The 19204-nt window shown below is 43.4% G+C and overlaps 2 protein-coding genes and 1 long non-coding RNA gene across 45 annotated transcripts in view, besides 4 other annotated features; 2 read left to right on the top strand and 1 right to left on the bottom strand.

Annotated features, from left to right (window-relative positions):
- The window catches only part of HPSE2 (heparanase 2 (inactive)), an 858875-nt gene extending 850444 nt beyond the window's left edge, over positions 1–8431 (top strand). For 11 of the 12 annotated variants that reach the window (XM_047425614.1, NM_001166245.1, XM_011540030.2 and 8 more), the window contains one exon: positions 5769–8431. In XM_047425614.1, the coding sequence (XP_047281570.1) occupies positions 5769–5934 (166 nt within the window). In that variant the 3' untranslated portion in view covers positions 5935–8431. Of the gene's footprint in view, positions 1–3688; positions 3759–5768 lie in introns of all 12 variants that reach the window. The other variant, NM_001166246.1, reaches the window with a different exon arrangement.
- Positions 8067–8670: an enhancer, noted in NCBI's record as "H3K4me1 hESC enhancer chr10:100216595-100217198 (GRCh37/hg19 assembly coordinates)". NCBI's record gives its function as "activates a minimal SCP1, AML or CMV promoter by ChIP-STARR-seq in naive H9 embryonic stem cells {active_cell/tissue: H9 hESC(naive)}" and the evidence as "EXISTENCE:reporter gene assay evidence [ECO:0000049][PMID:30033119]".
- Positions 9229–9768: an enhancer, noted in NCBI's record as "H3K4me1 hESC enhancer chr10:100215497-100216036 (GRCh37/hg19 assembly coordinates)". NCBI's record gives its function as "activates a minimal SCP1, AML or CMV promoter by ChIP-STARR-seq in naive H9 embryonic stem cells {active_cell/tissue: H9 hESC(naive)}" and the evidence as "EXISTENCE:reporter gene assay evidence [ECO:0000049][PMID:30033119]".
- Positions 11659–12160: an enhancer, noted in NCBI's record as "NANOG hESC enhancer chr10:100213105-100213606 (GRCh37/hg19 assembly coordinates)". NCBI's record gives its function as "activates a minimal SCP1, AML or CMV promoter by ChIP-STARR-seq in primed H9 embryonic stem cells {active_cell/tissue: H9 hESC(primed)}" and the evidence as "EXISTENCE:reporter gene assay evidence [ECO:0000049][PMID:30033119]".
- Positions 11703–19187, bottom strand: HPS1-AS1 (HPS1 antisense RNA 1). 4 transcript variants are annotated; one of them, NR_134451.1, is made up of 4 exons: positions 18747–19187; positions 16127–16161; positions 12119–12309; positions 11703–12005 (listed from the first exon to the last, which is right to left on the bottom strand). It is a non-coding gene; the product is annotated as an HPS1 antisense RNA 1 (long non-coding RNA). The 4 variants fall into 4 exon arrangements; NR_134452.1 differs by having other exon boundaries at positions 18751–19187; NR_134453.1 differs by lacking the exon at positions 16127–16161.
- Positions 18406–18755: a silencer, noted in NCBI's record as "silent region_2688". NCBI's record gives its function as "represses an Ori minimal core promoter by ATAC-STARR-seq in GM12878 lymphoblastoid cells {active_cell/tissue: GM12878}" and the evidence as "EXISTENCE:reporter gene assay evidence [ECO:0000049][PMID:35858748]".
- HPS1 (HPS1 biogenesis of lysosomal organelles complex 3 subunit 1) overlaps positions 18573–19204 on the top strand; it is a 32988-nt gene continuing 32356 nt past the window's right edge. For 17 of the 29 annotated variants that reach the window (XR_007061961.1, XR_001747098.2, NM_001322485.2 and 14 more), the window contains exon 1: positions 18573–18701. The gene's annotated coding sequence lies outside the window, so the exon portion shown is untranslated. Of the gene's footprint in view, positions 18702–18732; positions 18862–19204 lie in introns of those variants that run through there. The other 12 variants (XM_047425149.1, XM_047425147.1, NM_001322483.2 and 9 more) reach the window with 2 other exon arrangements.

The raw sequence follows: 19204 nt of genomic DNA, 5'->3' as shown, positions 1-19204 counted from the left end.
ACTGGCCTATGTATCTCCTGGGGCTCTTTAGCAATCACATGTGACAAGGGAGGCCAGATAGGGCTATGGTTAAGGGCGTCAGTGCAAATCTCAGCTCTACCACTCATTGGCTGTATGGCTTAGGTGAGTTTTAGACCCCTCTAAACTTTGATTTGCTCATCTGTAATACAGGAATGCTAACACCTGCCTCAATTGTTGTAAGGACTAAATGAGATAGTCAAAATAAATCATAGCATAGTGCCTTTTGCATAAATAGTGCTGCATAATTGGTGAATTTTATCATTAATGTGATTATGTTTACAAGCTTACAAGCTGTTCAATGTATCTAAATGAAAGATTATTGTTATATTTAGCATGATATGACTGCTGGGTAACAAGATAAATATTAAAAGAAAAATATAGGCAGGAAGAATAGAATGGAAGTGATAAAGCACATGGCCCATCTTTATAATGAAGGGACTTTGTGGATAAGGATGTATGAGGACTCAAGGTCTCACAAAACCTTATTCACAAAATTAACTTATGCTCACTTAGCTAAGAGATGGTCGCATAGATCTTTTTTAAGGATGGAAAACACTAGCAATGATCAATGGTCTTATGTCAGGTTGGAATGAGGTATCTAGTGAGTGGCTGAGAGAATCAGTGATAATTCAGATCTTATCTAACATCTCCACAAGCCAACAAGAGCAATAGTAATTGGCGCATTAATGAAATCTGTAAACACACTCAGCAAACCTCCAGGGAGCCTCTTTAGAGCTGGAGAAACTCAATCCAGGAAGATCAGAAATAATGCAAAAGAGCCTCAAAAGCCCATTCACTTGCTCAGAAAATATTTAGCCCCTACTCTGTGCCAAGCACCTCTTTAGGCATTGAGGATTCATAGCCCAGTGAGGGATCAAACAAGTAACTCACTACAATAAGGGCCACAGTTAGAAATAACTTTGGGTGCTAAGAGAGTCCAGAAGTGGGGCTCCAAACCCAACCTAGGGGTCAGAGAAGGTTCTCCAGAGGAGGCAACACCTACACAGACGCTGCAAGGATCCATTGCAGTTAGTCTGGCAGAGGAAGACAGCTGGAGGGAGCACCGCACAGAATGATATGACTCGGAAGCAAAACTGCAAGTCATTTTATTTGGTCATGCTAGGGCACGGGGGCTTGGCCTCTTCAAGCATGTGGGTTCCTTTTAAATGTCAACAAATGTCACGGTCTTCCACATTATAGTAATTGTCCTTTCAAAATCTATTCCTTAAAAAGTACATGATACCTCCCTCCCCCAAAAAAAATCTATTGGGAATTGAAGAACAGTTTTAAATGAACTTATGTTTTAATCCCAAAACTGCTGACTAGCATTTACTTTTGAAAAATATTTTCTTTCTTTTTTTGTGTTTTTTTGAGACAGAGTCTCGCACTGTTGCCCAGGCTGGAGTGCAGTGGTGCAGTCTGGCTCACTGCAACCTCTGCATCCCGGATTCAAGCAATTCTTCTGCATCAGCCTCCTGAGTAGCTGGGATTACAGGTGTGCGCCACCACACCTGGCTAATTTTTGTATTTTTAGTAGAGACAGGGTTTCACCATGTTGGTCTGGCTGGTCTCAAACTCCTGACCTCGTGATCCACCCACCTTGGCCTCCCAAAGTGCTGGGATTACAGGCGTGAACCACCGCACTCGGCCTGAAAAATGTTTTCTACCTTTTTGTTATTTTGGAGACAGGGTCTCACTGTGTCACCCAGACTGGTGTGTAGTGGCACAGTCTCAGCTTACTGCAGTCTCAATGTCCTGGGCTCAAGCAATCCTCCCACCTCAGCCTCCCAAGTAGTTGGGACTACAGGCATGTGCCACCACACCCATCTAATTTTGTTTATTTTTTTGTAGAGATGGGGGTCTCACTATGTTGCCCAGGCTGGTCTCAAATTCCTGGACTCAAGTGATCCTCCTGCCTCAGCCTCCCAAAGTGCTGGGATTACAGGCATGAGCCACCACACCCAGCCTACTATACTTTTGAATTAACTTGTGTATTTCAATCCCAACAATATCTACTTACATTTTCATTGAGAAATATTTACCTCATCTCTGTGAAAGACATTATTTTTTCATTCGTCATCTTTGTGTATGCATATATTAATGAAATTCTTACAATAACTGGCAACCCCCTACCAATGCCCACTCCCAGAGGTCTGCGATCCACAGTGAGCGTTGGAGGGGGGACTGGCGGGATCTGAGACTGGAGAGGTAGCTGGAGCTGGGTGTCATTGTTCACAATAAAGTGTAAGGGAAGGGGAGTGTTGGCAAGTTTGAAGCGGTGCAGTGACAACAGATAACTGTCAGCAATGTGGCACAGAGATAGGTTAGGAGGCAAGTTCTGAACTAAAAAGATAGCAGTGGATGGAGGAAAAGGAGCAGATTTGAAAAACACTATAAGGTCGAATTATTTTGACTTGGCTACCCTACACAAGGGAATTGGGGGAGAAGTCTCAGAAGACTCCAAGCTTTCTGGGTACAGTAATTGGATAAATGGCGGTACCATCACAAAGATAAAAAAAAAAAAAAAGCAGAGATAAGGACAGAGTTTGAGGAGAAGATTTTGAATTTGGACCTAGTGACTTTGAAATTCCTGTGGACAGCCAAGTGGAGATACAGAAGTTCATAGAAAGAATGTAGGTAGGGTAGAGATACAAGCTTAGGGAGCATCAGCTTGTGGATAGTGACCGAAGTCAAGGGTGAGAGCAGCAGCAACCTGGGAGGAGTGCAGAGTGTGGGGACAGAAGAGTCCAGGGACAAAACACTAGGAACCCTAGCATCTGAGAAGCAGGCAGAGGGGAATGGCTCCCTCTCAAAAAAACAAAAACAAAAACGAAAACAAAACGCCATCCAGAAATGGAGGAAAACAGAGAGAAATATCATGGGAGCCAAGGGGAGAGAGGGTTTTGAGAATGGAGACCTGAAAATGTGAGTACCACAGAGCAGTCAGGTATGATAAGGACCAACAAGTGCATCTGTCCACAGTGACATTAAAAACAATAGCAACAACAGGTCAGACACGGTGGCTCATGCCTGTAATCCCAGCATTTTGGGAGGCCAAGGCAGGTGGATCGCTTGAGGTCAGGAGTTCGAGACCAGCCTGGCCAACATGGTGAAACCCCGTCTCTACTAAAAATACGAAAATTAGCCAGGTGTGGTGGCACATGCCTGTAGTCCCAGCTACTCGGGAGGATGAGGCAGGAGAATCATTTGAACCCAGGAGGCAGAGGTTGCAGTGAGCCAAGAATGCACCACTGCACTGCAGCCTGGGCAACAGATCGAGACTCCATCTCAAAAAAATAAATAAATAAAAATAAAAAGAACAACAACAACAAAAACACCATATCTTAAGTATATGGTTCATTATGCTTTCAAAGCACTTTCATATTTCTTATTTCATTTCTTTGGTGCCTATATAACGTTCTTACAGATGCAAAAGCTACAGGGCAGTGAGGTTAGGGGATTTGCCAAAGCCATCTAGCTAGTTAGCAACTTGGCTCCTGGAATTCGAGATTTCAGTAGAGAATCTTCACCATGCTTCCTGGTTCTACTCTTAGCTTTTTAACCAACCAATAAAGAAACCAGAATAGGGCCTGTTCCAGGACAACTACTCCTTATTAGTATAGATTTTTAAAGGTTTGCTAATCACACGTTGTTTTGCACTCCCCAGAACCCAAAGATGTCAATACTGTGGGATCATCTGAATCTAAAAGGGCATTACCTAATTCTTCAGAAGAAAGGTTTGCACCTAATTCTGTATATGGGAGAAACCATTGAAGGTTTTCTAGCAGAGACCTGATATAAATTTGAGTATGCCTTAGAAAGATTAATCGGTATTATTGAACTCGTGTTTGACTGTGCTTATATCTGGGTGATAGATATTCATAGCACCTGAAACAAAATAATGAAAATACACTGTGAAGACCCATCTGGGCTTCTTTTGTAACTGAACCACTCTCCTCACCCTGCCTTCCACTCCAATGAGTAGGCTGTCTTCACTACAGAGGGTCACTTCTCATATTTGGAAGCAAAAGCTCCTTGCATATCTGATGCGGTCAACACTGACCTTCAGATCTCAATTCTCCCACCCCATGCCTTCCAGAGGCAGGCCTCGCTCTCCATATAGAAGCCTCCTACTCACTTATTCACTCAGTCATTCTAGCAAAGGGAGGGGGCCTGCTCCCTCTGGCCTATCAGATCTGGACCTAGCCCAAACTTACCCATGTGGGGCCAGGCCTGGATCTCTTCTCTGCCTAGCTCTCCATTGGGAGCAATTTACAACACACTTATCTCTGGGAATTCACTGCTCTATTGGGCATGGGTCTGATTATCTCTCTCTAAAGCAGTCTATCATTCATAGCACAGAAGGAACACTAAACAAAGACCTCTATATCAATTTATAACATTCTATTCTCTTTACAGCTCAGATGATGTCACGGCAATGTTATCACACTGGAGGTTGGGCAAGGCCCAGAAACAGTCATCACTATGCAATGTTGATTTTCTGAGGGTGACTCACAACCTTATTTCCAGCTGGTGGCCTGTTTCTGGCCTTTTCTGCTGACCCATAAAACTAAGCTTCCACCTGGGTGCATGGCTGTCAGGAACAGCTGGAACATTATCTGGATTCTGGTACCATAGGTCAAGGATAGGTGGCATTTCCCTCTATCCAGCATAAGATGAGCTGTTTCTCTTTTCTAAGTTTGCTATGTATGTAGTCCCCCTTCTCAGGGTGAAAGTGGCTGGCTATACAGAAAGGATAAAAGCAAGATAGATGAATTGTGATCACAAATGCCTACTTTATCACTTACTTTGCTGTTTTGCTAAATGGAAACATCTGTTAATATTAAATATGAAAACTCATTTTTTGTTTTTTTTAGGGACAGAGTTTCTCTGTCACCCAGGATGGAGTATAGTGGTGTAATCTTGGCTCACTGCAGCCTCAACCTCCCAGGCTCAAGTGATCTTCCCACTTCAAACTCCTGAGTAGCCACCATGCCAGGCTAATTTTGCTTTTATATTGTTTGTAGAAATGGGGTCTCGCTATGTTGCTCAGGCTAGTCTCAAACTCCTGGACTCAAGCGATCCTCCCTCTTCAGCCTCCCAAAATGCTGAGATTATAGGCATGAGCCACTGCACCCAGCCAAAACTCATTCTTAAATTAGAAAAAGTAGAGGTGTTACCTATGTCTCTGTCTCCCTTCCGTATAACCTTAGACAAGCAAGGTAATGTCAGTTATCTAATCTGTCAAGTAAATTAATGAGATATGAGTTAAATAGATTTCTGAAGTCATCTTAAGCCCATGTATCATTCCACAGGTAAAAACTCTTTAGGTGGAAAAGTCAAACTGAGCTGATATTGTGATTTTTAAAAAATAGGAATGAAACATTCCAGCTTCTGCATCACAGACTTTTCACTTGTCTAAATGTGTCTATGGAGGTAGACTACCTGGGTTCAAACCCTGGACCTCCAAGCTGTGTGACTTGGGACAAGTCACCTAGCCACTCTAGATAAAATGGGGATAATGATATTAATAGTTACTTACCTCAGGGGAGTGGGGGGGTTGTTGGGATGTTTGAATGAGTTATTAAAGTAAAGCACCTAGGTCAGAATCTAGGGCATAGCCAGTAACAATAAGTGTCAGCTGTGTGTGTGTATCAGACACTGCCAGGCCATCTGGGGCTAGGCTTTGTTGCAGTGGCTCCCTTATAATGCAATAATGAGTCCCATACTGTTTTTCCTCACTGTAGGTCAGTGCAACTGAATGGCCAGCCCTTAGTGATGGTGGACGACGGGACCCTCCCAGAATTGAAGCCCCGCCCCCTTCGGGCCGGCCGGACATTGGTCATCCCTCCAGTCACCATGGGCTTTTATGTGGTCAAGAATGTCAATGCTTTGGCCTGCCGCTACCGATAAGCTATCCTCACACTCACGGCTACCAGTGGGCCTGCTGGGCTGCTTCCACTCCTCCACTCCAGTAGTATCCTCTGTTTTCAGACATCCTAGCAACCAGCCCCTGCTGCCCCATCCTGCTGGAATCAACACAGACTTGCTCTCCAAAGAGACTAAATGTCATAGCGTGATCTTAGCCTAGGTAGGCCACATCCATCCCAAAGGAAAATGTAGACATCACCTGTACCTATATAAGGATAAAGGCATGTGTATAGAGCAGAATGTTTCCCTTCATGTGCACTATGAAAACGAGCTGACAGCACACTCCCAGGAGAAATGTTTCCAGACAACTCCCCATGATCCTGTCACACAGCATTATAACCACAAATCCAAACCTTAGCCTGCTGCTGCTGCTGCCCTCAGAGGAAGATGAGGAAGGAAAAAAACTGGGTGGACCTACAAAAACCCATCCTCTCCCAACTCCTTCTTCTCTGCCTCTTTCTTGCTGCTGCCCTGAGTTTTTTGACACATCTCTTTCCATAGGGGAGTAATGGGTGTGTCAGCCCTGGCCTGCTGGGAGAGCTGTTTGTATGATTTCCCGGCTGATGTATGAGCGTGCGCATCTGGGTTCCTGACAGTGGCATCCATCACTGGCAGTTCTTCTGGGAAGCGGGTGCTTCAAAAGTAAAATTACAATCACACTCCAGATTTGGTAAGAAGGTTCTATTCCTCTGTGAATCCAGATTCCCCCAGAGTTGTAATGGGAGTCAAGTAACAATATTCATTGAGTGGAGAGCAGTTTATTAGGCACAACAAAAAGTAGTCATCATTCTTCATGTTGCTATGAGGGAGAGTTTGAGTACAAAGAGAAAGCATACTGAAACATCAGGTACACACACACACCCCAACTGGACAAAGCAAATTAGACCTCTCCAAAATTAAGAGAATATTAGGGGCTCTATAGGGTAAGCCCTTAATTGTTTGGTTAACTCAAATCATTATTTTTAAAAAAGAAGAAAAAAGTGTGAATCAAGGTCATCACTGGAAGACACAACTGAATCTAACCTTTTTGCCTCTTCCCAAGTAGCCTATTTGAGCTAGAACAAAACTTTGTTAGCCATTTTGGGAGAGAATAGGGAATCTAGAGAATGAAGATCTGGCCAAAACTATGGAATGGTAGGTAGGAAGCTTCTGAGTTGGGCAGGTGTGAAGTGGGGGATGAGGACGTTCTATATGATTCAAGGGGCATGAGGGTCTTTGCCAATGAGCTACAGCTGAAATGACTTTCTTTTCTGTGGATGTGATTTTCTTTCTCAGGATAAATGACAGGAATGATGCTTTTGTTAGAAGGAGGAGAGATTTGACACTGTTCCAAGTGAGACGGTGATACAATTTCTGCTGTTTGTGAAAGGACAGGAATGGGGCGGGGGCAAGGCAGGGTTGCCTAGGGCAGAGACTAGGGAGGCTGCCTAAGACGCACACGGAGTTAAGGATTTGGGCCAAGTCTGCAAAGTGAGAGATGGAAGGGAGATTAGACCAAAGAGGAGGGAGAGAATTCTGAGCTTGGAGAACGGTGGATTTGGGAGAGGGAAGCTGACTACCTAATTCCAGGAAGCGAGGGGACCGGGTTTTGACATGCTTATCATTAAGCACAGGAGGAACAGCATACAGCAGATGTACTACAGCGAGCAAGAAAGGGAGAGCCCGAGGACCAGGCTGCACCAGGTCAGTGGCTGTGCTCAGCATGGAAGCAACTGGAGAGAGAGGGGCAGACCCTGAGACCGCCCTGCAAGGCTGCCCAGAAGGGACCCGTTTCTCTGGGACCAGGCACCTCCCACTGAGGCTTCAGCTCTGAGAGGGCAGGAAAGTGAAGTACCAAGATGGGGGCGGGGCGGGGGGTAGGAAATAAGAGAAAGAAGAAACAGATTGACAGGCCAAAGTGAGGAAAAGAGAGGAAAAGAGAAATGAGACTAAAAGGTCGTTCCCCCAACTGTTAAAAATGTGTGCAGATATCAACGTCTCTTCTACATACTGGTACAGGTGCGACTGCAGGGCCCCCTGATATAACAAGAGTAACCAAAGGTCCCTAAGAGCCTGGCCCTGGGGACCTATGGTTTGCTTTGCGTCCTTAGTAACCCCATGATAAAGGGGTACTACTGTTATCCCCATTTTTCCTACGAGGCATGGAGAGGATCCATGGCTCGCCCAGGGGCACCCGGGGAAATGGGTTGCCGAGCGCGAAATAATCCAGAGCCTGCCCACTCAGCCACAAGGCTCAGCGGCTCCACAGGTCCAGACACCTCCTTCACATCTTTGTAGGTTCTGCTCATTCAGAACAGCCAGAACTCCACTCAAACACACTTTCTGTAAATAAGTGTTGATTTTTTTTTACTAAACCTTGCAGAATATGGGTAATTCCTGCTTCTTTTATCTTTCTCTGTGTATTAAATGCTGCTCTCACGAGATTTAAGTTTTGTTTATTTTTTAGTTAATAAAAGGAAGAGGGAATTACTGAAATTTATCTCTGGAGTCCTGCAGTTCTAACTTTGTAACTGTTTCACAGAAGAAATATGCGCATTGTTCAAAGGATACCAGAAAAACTCACTATAAAATCACATTCCATAGAAACACCTTGGCTTTTTCCCTTGGAGGGGTGGGGGTTGCTTGTCATAGGGATTCCCCTATCACACTCACCCGCAAAAAGACAGCCTGTGGCAAAATGCAGCATCACAATGCACTTCAAGGGAGCAGGTTGCCAGCTGGGAGCAGGGACAAAAGCACAGAAGAGCTGGTCGGGCAGCTGCCCCAGATCAGATATTTCCTTCCTAAAACAAGATGTGGCCATAATAATCTGAGACTTAAAAGCCACTTTATTTTAAACCTAGAATGGGCTGGCAGAAATGCTCATTTGAAAGACTAATAATGTATAATGAAAAGTTTCTGCCTATTGTTGAGCTGGTTTTCTGCTTCTGCCTCTAGGAATGATCTTCTTTCTCATTTCTTATCACAAAGGCTCAGAAGAAATACTCATTGTTATTTGGAGAGAAAGTCCCAATTCTTCTAGTGCCCTGAACAATGCTGCAGCTGTGGGATTATTAGCATTATCTCTGCTGGAGAAAAGTTTGAAAATACCAGAACTGGGCTACAGTGAGACTAAGGCCTGGGGCTCCCAGAAGCTCAATTCCCAAAAGCCTAGTGGCCCTCTGCAGCCTGACCCTTCCCCAGCAGGCGGGCGGTCCCTAGGCAGGTGGGCTCAAAGCCTTGCACTCTCCAGCAGGGCAGAGGTTGCTGGTGGATGCTGCCTGAAGAGGCTCCCACCTGCTGTCAGCACTGGGAGTCTCTGTGGCCCCCTGGCAGTGAGGACTCGTGTGCTAACCACTTAGCCTCTGGTGGTCATGGCGAGGCCCAGCATCTGCAGGTGTGCTCCACAGGCACTCAAGGCCCCAGTGTCTGGGATGGATGCAGCTGCAGGATTCACCTTGGAAATCCATTGAGAGTAGCTTTATGTTTGAAAACAAAAGGGCAGTGTTGAGTCTCTGCAGAAGCAAAGGTGAACCAGGTGGATCCCTCTGACGATAAAAACACAAGGGGAAGGGAAGACTAACATTTTGAAATATCAATAGAGCAACCAAAATTAATAGTGCTGTGGCTTGGAAAAGGCAAGAGAAGAAAGGGCATAAACTTTACCTAGCATGGCTTCCTCCACTTCTCCTCTCTCCAGCATCGGCACAACTGCCCCAGCCTGGCCCCTGCTGAGTGCTCGTTTCCACCAACTTACTCTCCACGTCCACAGACTCCCCTCTGCCAGCCACTCTGTGCCCAGCCAGGAGCCCAGGGAAATCTGCTGTATTGAAGTGAAGTTTCCATTTTAGAATTGTTTGTAATCTTTTCTTAGGATATACCAGGATTGAAAAGCAGATAAGAAGTACTCCAAAGAGAGATAGTGCTAAAATGAATTTTATTATTATTATAAGGCCCAAACAACTGGGACATACAGAACCCTTCTCTCTGAGTTCCACTAACCATGGCACGAAGGCTTCTGTGGCTGCCCTTCCTTGATCAAGTGCCTTCTTCTTATCAGACGTGCTATTTTATTGAATGCTCACAGCAGTGCTGGGTGGTATGGTAAGTGTTCAGACCCAATTATAGATGGGGAGGATTAGAGAAAGAACTTGTTCAAGACCACCCAGAAAAACAGTGTGGCAAAACTAGGAGTTGAACCCAGGTCTGTTAAAAATTTCAAAGCCTGCTATCCCTACACTGTGCTACCTCTCACCTGACTGATTGTAGCCACCTATTTCTCATCTCTGTATTGCCCACAGCTAGATTCCTTAACATCTCATGTGTGTCCTACAGAGAACCCTAGCAGTGCCTTACCCCCAGTACAACTGCTCTCTGGTTTGAGGATGCCAACTAGAAGCTCTTGTGAGTAGTGAGTAGTAAGTAGTGTTGTGGACAGCCTTTGCTGTAGAACTTTGAGTCCAGGTTCACCTTGGCCGATCAGTGGTCATCCTGGTCTGTTCCGCTATGATTTTCTTTTTTCTTTTTCTTTCTTTTTTTTTTTTTTTTGAGACGGAGTCTCCTTCTGTCGCCCAGGTTGGAGTGCAGTGGCACGATCTCGGCTCACTGCAAGCTCCGCCTCCTGGGTTCACGCCATTCTCCTGCCTCAGCCTTCAGAGTAGCTGGGACTACAGGCGTCAGCCACCACACCCGGCTAATTTTTTTGTATTTTTAGTAGAGACGGGGTTTCACCGTGTTAGCCAGGATGGTCTTGATCTCCTGACCTCGTGGTCCGCCCATCTCGGCCTCCCGAAGTGCTGGGATTACAGGCATGAGCCACGGCGCCTGGCCTCCACTATGATTTTCTATAAAGCAGTTTTAAGGACCACTCCCACCATCGCCACCAATCGTAGGTGAGAATCTTCAGTATTCCTAAGGCCTGAGAGGTGAGTGGCAGAGCCAGTCAGCAGCCCGCCCCCGCCCCGCAACACACACACACACAGCTTCTATGAGTGCTGCTCCCTGGCCCCCATGACCCAAAGGTCAAATCCATTAACCATTGCCCTCGGGGTAGTATTTGCAAATACCACTTTAAAAAAAGAAAGTCAAAATCCAGCAAACCAACTGCTTTGGCACCACCTCCTTCCAAACACCAAGGCAGCCCCTGTGAGCGCTGGGAGCATTTTGGAGGAGTTGACCAAGTTCCATATGACTTAAATCCCAGGGTCCCAGGGTCCTATGCACACAGCAGAGAAAAGACGCCCTTCCCATGTGAACATTACTCTTCTAATTATTATTCATGAAAATATTCTAGGATTCTTTTTCAAGTTATAAATGTTATTTGATAATTTATGTTTTTGGAAGAAGCAAAAAGAAACTTTAGTTTTGTTCATCTGGAAGTTGGCAAAATGAGTTCAGGAATACCTCCCAGAAAAAGTTTCCTCTCTGTGCAGGGAATTTTAACAGGTTAATATTTTCTTCCAGAAAACAGAGTAGATTATAGTTTATGGAACCTGGTGATTGTAGAGAGTTTGGGTCCAGGGGGTAGTTTGCATTTTGAGGTAATGTTTTGTAAGTAATAAGATGCGACTACTCTAACTTCCTATTCTCAGGGTGTTCTGTGGGGAGAGGGAGGCAACTGCTGCCCACACTACACCCTGACCTTAAGACTGATTGACTGATGAACTAACACGTACTGGGGATCTCTGATTTCATGGTGTGCTGCCCTCCTCCCCTCCCCCACAACCTTTGCTTCAATTACTCTAAGTAGAAATTGAATTTCATAACTCCAGTTAGATGTCATTGACTATATTAGTTAAAGTCATTCTTAACTATAATAACAGTTAAACCCCAGAAACTCAATGACTTAACACAGTCCAAGTTATTTCTCGCTTATAATTCATGTAAAGTTGAATTGGTGGTATTGGGGTGGAGGTGGTGTTCTGTTCCATCGACGTGCCCAGAGCAGTTGGAGGCCCAACCTGGAACTGGAGTCAGTCCTTTCCACTCACTTCTATTGGCCAGCAGTCATTTGGTCCCATCTGGATGCTAGAGGAAATGCAGTCCTTATCTGGGCAGGTACCTTCCAACAACAGCTGTGTTTCATGGAAAAGGAGCACAAAACTATGATGGATGCTAGAAGACCAGAGAATGGGTCAATGCTGTTAGATCCCTCTGGCTGATTTGTCTTCAAGTGAGTATTACATACCATTTGTGTGTGGTGGTATCTAAATCCACAGGACCTTTTTGCACACTCCATAGTAACCTAAGCTTCCTTCTCCATCTCCTCCACTTCTAAAGTCCTGCCTCTCCTAGTACTTGGCTGATTTTTGTCAGAAAACAATCTGTGTTGCTCCACTGCCATCCAATGTAGATGCACATAGTAGAAGATGCTGCCCCCTGTACCAGAAACATCAAAAATATAATTTGAAACCTCAAATAGCAAAGTGGGTTAAAAGGTAACTAGAGAATCATAGAGGCCAACTCTAGACCCAATGAACAGTCACACCTGGAGATCACAACAGGCTATTCCACTGATTTTATCCACCTCAGAAGACAAGTCACTCAGCCTCTCTGGACCTCAGTGTTCTCATCTATAAAATGAGGACTTTGGATTTAAGTGAAATCTAAGTTTACCTGAAACTCCCTGTTGTCTGATGTTATGTCAGATGGTCTCTGGTCCAAGTGCTATTGTTTTTCTATTTCCTCCTCATGTTAGCTTATATATTAGATAACATCCTTTTGAGAAGTTTCAAAGTTAGCTTTAAATTGTTGCTATTTCTACCTAAATGCAACGTGCCTTCTAGAATGCATGCACATGAAATTCAACACAGATAACACGTTTTGAAGATCCTCTCACCCTCAGGGATAGTGTCCTGATTTTATTTTTGAGTTAATTACTTGACTCTTGCCACCCCAGTTTCTTCCAAGCCGTGATTTAGTGCATATTTAATGCAGACTAAGCATGCCCCAAGGCATACCCACCTTGTTAGGTTTTTAAAAGGAAAAGATTGACCTCACATAGGAGAAATTAGTTAAATTGAACTTTAAGACAAGTACGTGGGGTTGCTCCAGCAGCAACTGAAATGTATTATAGTAGAATTTCACCACGTATGCACCTAATGTCTTGGAACTCAACTATGTCTACAAGTGCATGGGTGGTGGGAGGCTGAGAAAATTGGAGGAGACAGTGAAAGGAAAGATGAAGACAGACAGGGAGAGAAAGAATGAACAATCAAAATAATGCAATGAGAGATGCAGGAAAGAATAAAAAGCAACGTGAAGGGTAATTATGTGGGAAACTCTAAATAAATATAATCTAATAATAACAATGTCTCTTGCAATTTAAAATAGGTAAATAATTAAAAATGCATTACAATAATACCATACATATTGAAAGCTGGTAAATGGAAGATATATTAACATCCTTACATTTTCAAGAAAGAGGTAAAACTACTAATTTACATTAAACTTTGATAAGTCAAGGATGCATGTTTTAGTCTCTATGGTAACCACTGAAAGAATACTTAAAAGAGTATATTCTTTAAGTGAATGGAGAGGCAGTGGAATCATAACAAAAACGCTTCATCTAACAGAAAGCAAGAAAGAAGACAAAGATAATGAAGAACAGGACAAACAGAAAGCAACTAGCAAGATAATAGATTTAAAACCAAATTTATTTGTAATGGCACTAAATGTAAATGGAATAAATGCTCCGATTAAAAGATGAAGGTTGTCAGATAAGATAAAAGAAAGTTCAATTAAAAGCTATTTCAAAAGAAATATCTAAAATATAAGAAATTAAAAGGAGTAAGAAAAAGATATGCCATGCAACAAAAGGTGATGTCCTTATGTTTATATGAGACAATAAATGCTTTTGTAAAACCAAAAAGCATTGCTAGTGATAGGGACATTTCATAAAGATGAAAGTTTTGATTTAACAGTAAGATATATAATTATAAATCTGCATGTACCTAATGACATCTCCTATATGTGAAGCAAAAATCTAACAGAAATAAAAGGAGAAATAGAAAAATTTGCAATTATAATAGATTTTTAACTGCTATTTCTCTCAGAAAATGAGAGAAAAGGCAGACAAAAATCAGAAAGAATAGAAAAGATTTAAACAATACAATTAACATTTTATCTAAATGATATATGGAGAACATTACAACAACAAATGAATAAAGTCCTTTTTCAACAACACATCGAAATATTTATAAAACGTGGTTATATACTGTGACATAAAGTTTCAAAAAACTTCAAAGAATAATAACATACAATGTATTTCTGACAGCAGTGGAATATAAGTGGAAATTATAGATAGATGATAGATAGATAGATAGATAGATAGATAGATAGATAGATAGAGAGATAGAAAACTAGAAAATCTCCCTGTGCTTGAAAATTAAGAAACACACTTCTTAATATTCCATGAGAAAAAAATCAGAAATCACAATAAAAAGAAAATATTTTAAACTAAATGGAAAAGACTACATATAAAAATATGCAGAAAGAACTTCCAATTTCTGGTAATGTTACAGTTGTATCAGACTGACCCTTTTGCCAATAACAATTACGAACCTTAGACAAAATTTGAAAAAACAATTCTTTGAAGGCAATGCAGAACAGCTAAGAGCAGGCAGAAACTGCAGGAGATATAGCTCTTGAATGAAGAAAATCACACTGGGTGATATCCACATTTATTTGGCTTTTCTCCTGAAGGAATTCCCCTAGTTCACAACAAAGAGCAAGGTCCATCAGCAAGCAGCTATTATATTAGACCGTGGAGTGACATTGGTGTTCAAGACTGCCAGAGCAGCTGAAAATTGAATGGAGAGGGAAAGGGAACAGGTGGGAGAAACTTAAAAAGCTGGTACAAAGTACACTCAAATATCTGGCTGACCTCTGAACTATACTCTAAATAAATCAAAAGAAAAATTAGCATTTTAAAGTAATTGAAAATGAAAACATGGCAGATAAAAAGTTGTGGGATGCTGATAAAGCAGGACCTTGGGGAAGATCTACAGCACTCAACTCCATTAGAAAAGACAAAAGGTCTCAAATCAGTGGCCTCTGTTTCTAGAAGAAAAAAAAACCCAAAGTAAACAGAAGACACGAAATAGTAACTATCAGAACAGAAACTGATGAATTTAAAAACAGGATCAATAAAAATTGATTCAACCAAAAACTGCCTCTAAGAAAATCAATAAACTCCTTTTAAATTTATTGAACATAGACTCCAAAAATAGATTCACACACAGATGGTCAACTGATTTGAGACAACGTGCCATGATAATTAATCCAATGGAGAAAAGATTGATTGATTTATTTATTTGAGATGGAGTTTCACTCCTGTTGCCCAAGCCGGAGTGCAATGGCACGATCTTGGCTCACTGCAACCTCTGCCTCCTGGGTTCAAGCGATTCTCCTGCCTCAGCCTCCTGAGTAGCTGGGATTACAGGTGCATGCCACCACGCCCAGCTAATTTATTTTTTTGTATTTTTACTAGAAATGGGGTTTCACCATGTTGGCCAGGCTAGTCTCCAATTCCTGACCTCAGATGATCTGCCCTCCTGAGCCTCCCAAAGTGCTGGGATTACAGGCATGAGCCACCACGCCTGGCTGAGAAAATATTTTTTTTCAACAAATGGTTCTAGAAAAATTGGACATCTATATACAAAACACACACACACACACACACACACACACACACAAAAGACTAAAACCTCAACCTTCTTTCACATCACACACAAAAATTAACTCAAAATGGATTGTGAACCTAAAGACAAAATCTACGACTATTAAATTTCTGCAAAAAAGAAAAAACAGGAGAAAATCTCTGTGACCCTGGCTAAGCAGAGACTTTACATAGGACACAAAATGCACAAAGATTTCTGCTCTTCAAAAGTCACTGTAAAGAAAATGAAAAGACAAAGCCACAGACTGGGAAAAAAAAATATAATAAAGGGCTTGAATTCAAACACATAAATAAATAATAAGACAAACAATCCAATTTTTAAATAGGCAAAATTTGAACACTTAACATACTACCACATACCTACTAGAATGGCTAAAGTTAAAATAGGACAATATCAAGTGCTAACAAGACTACAGAGCAATTACACCTCTCAGTGTTGCTAGAAGGAATGTAAAATGGTACATCCACTTTGGAAAATGGTTCAGCAGTTTAATATAAATTTAAACACAGACTTACCATACAGCCCAGCAATCCCATGAGTAGATATTTACCTAAGAGAAATATAAACTTATGTTGAACTACCTCACACCCATTAGGATGGCTACTATAAAAATTTTAAAGAAAATAGAAAATAGCAAGTGTTGACAAAGATGTGGGTAAACTGGAACACTTGTTCCAGGTTGGGAATGTAAAATGATGCAGCTGCTGTGGAAAACAGTATGGTAGTTCCTTAAAAAATTAAAAATAGAATTACCATATGATCTAGCAGTTTCTCTTCTGGGTATATGCCCAAAAGAATTGAAAGCAGAGTCTCAAAGAGATATTTGTACACTCATGTTCATAATGGCCTTATTCACAATGGATGTAACCCAATTGTCCATCAGCAGATAAATGGATAAGCAAAATGTAGTATATACAGACTATAGAGTATTATTTAGGCTTAAAAATAAAGAAAAAAGGAAGGAATTCTCACATATGCTACAACATGAATGCACCTTGAGAATATTATGCTAAGTGAAATAAGCCAGTCATAAAAAGACAAATACTGTATGATTCTACTTATATGAGGTACTTAGAGTAGTCAAATTCATAGAGACAGAAAGTAACATTGTGGTTGCTATGAGGAGGAATGAAGAATTGTTGTTGTTGTTGTTTTTGTTGTTGTTTTTGAGATGGGAGTCTCGCTCCGTTGCCCAGGCTGGAGTGCAGTGGCATGATCTTGGCTCACTGCAACCTCTGCCTCCTTGGTACCAGCAATTCTCCTGACTCAGCCTCCTGAGTCACTGGGACTACAGCTGTGTGCCACCACACCCTGCTAATTTTGTATTTTTAGTAGAGACAGGGTTTCACCATGTTGGCTAGGGTGACCTCAAACTCCTGACTTTGTGATCCGCCCGCCTTGACCTCCCAAAGTGTTGGGATTACAGGTGTGAGCCACCACACCCGGCCAGCATTATTGCTTAATGGATATAGTTTCAGTTTTAAAAGATGAAAAGAGCTGTGGAGATGGATGGTGGTGATGGCTGCATAGCATTAGGAATGTAGTTAATACCACTGAACAATACACTTAAAATGCTTAATGATCAATTTTACATTATATGTATTTTACCACAAACAAATTTGAAAAAAAGAAACATGTTGACACAAAAAACCCGTACATAACTAAAAAATAGATTATATTGGATTACATAAAAATGTAAAACTTTGGTGCTACAAATGATACCACTAAGAAAGTGAAAAGACAAGCCACATAATGGGAAAAAAACTTTTGCAAATCAAGTATCTGATAAGGGGCTTGTAACCAGAGCATATAAAGAACTCTTACAACTCAATAATAAAGACAATTTAAAAATGGATAAAGGATTTGAATAGACATTTCTCCAGAGAAGGTACACAAATAGGCAAAAAGCACATGAAAAGATGCCGAACGTCAGGGAAGTGCAAATAAAATCACAAGACACCACTCCACGCTGGGTTACTATACTTAAAAAAAAAAAAATCAACAATAACAAGCATTGGTGAGGATGTGGAGAAATCAGAATCCTCATACATTGCAGTTGGGAAATGGAAATTACCAGTAGGGGAATGAATAAGTAAATAACAGCATATCCATTTGATGGAATTCATTCGACCACTGAAAGCATAGTGAGTGAACGATCTCAACGGTGGGCTGAGCAAAGAGATGCGTGTGGCAGGGCTATGTGCTGTAGATGGGGAGTTGGAAGAATTTGCCCTAAGGTGGGCTGGAAGGGGTGGGTAGTGGGTTGGGGGGAGTGATGCTCTCTTTGATCTGCAGGTGGTGGAAGTATTGATTCTTAGCCTCTGCCTTTCCCCCAAGAGATGCTCAATCTACTATATCCCCAGCCAGTTCTTGCAACCCATACCTTGCTGGGCTGGGCTCAAAGCTCCCAGGTGGCACCCAGGCACTGAGGGGTGGACTGTTCGGGGATTTAGGCCCTTCCAGAGCGCCCCCTCCACTTCCAGGCACCCCCAATACACATACGATTTTTTAAAATAAATATTGCAAACATAGGTTCAACACAAAACTCCTAATGTGCACTCCACTCCCAAAATAGATTGAGAACTCCTATAAATTCCAGCGTTGGCACTCTGGGGGCAACTGAGCCCTTCTGTGCGCTATGTCACCTCCCCAAAGGTCAGGGAGAGCAGTCACAAAAGGACAGCTCTAGCCCCAGAACTTCAGTTCATTAGGCAAAGCCTGAGGTTCCGGGGCATGGGGAGGAGAGAAGGGATCAGCTGAGGAGCCAGGAAACCTGGGTTCTGAGCCTGGTTCGGACCCTCAGCAAGTTATTTCTTCTCTCTGCGCCTCCGTTTCCTCTTCTGTAAAATGGGGCATGGGCAAGGCCTGGCAGGGGCGGGGCTCGAACCCGCGGAAGGCGACGGCGGCTCCGGCCCCTCCCGGGGCGGGCGGTCACGTGCGCGATCACGCGGTCCTACCCGGAAGCGCGCCCGGGCTCCTGCAGGCGGGGCGCTGTGCGCGCCGCGATCCGGTACGTGGGCCTCCGGGCTGTCCCCTCTGGGGGCGGCGATCCTCCCTCCGGAGCCCCCCTTCAACCCTCCCGGAAGTGAGGTAGGGTCCCTAGGGGTCCCGGAGCGGGCCCACTCCTAGCCTCACCCACTCCGGGCGTGTGGCCGTGGGCCGGTCGCTTCCTCGCTCGGGGCCAAAGTTCCTCAGCCGTGAAGAGGGGTGGATGTCACAAGTCAAGCCTCCTTCCCAGGGTGGCCGTGAGGTTCGGGGGTGGGGGGAGGTGGGGATTTGGGGTGAAACTGGACAGAAACTGGCGTGCTAGGCAAACGGGAGCCCCGCGGCGGCGAACTGCTGACTCGCTCTCTCCAGAGACTCAGGGGCAGGGCCGGGCTCCGAAGGTGTGGGACCCCAGAAGGAGCTGCTGAAGACGGGACCAAGGGCCACAGGGAGGTTTGCTGGGGTCCAGATGGTGAAAGTGGGCGCTGGGGGTCGCCCCAGGTTGGCCCCCCGCCATCTGGAGCTCCTTTCGTCAGTGAGTCCCCTCCGAGTTCCCTTTCTAGGGCAAGATAGCGAGGTGAAGCGGAAGTCTCAGTGTGACACCGGCG

The sequence above is a fragment of the Homo sapiens genome, chromosome 10 (genome assembly GCF_000001405.40).
Source record: "Homo sapiens chromosome 10, GRCh38.p14 Primary Assembly".
NCBI classification, from domain to species: Eukaryota; Metazoa; Chordata; class Mammalia; order Primates; family Hominidae; genus Homo; species Homo sapiens.
This window is presented reverse-complemented; position numbering and strand designations above follow the sequence as displayed.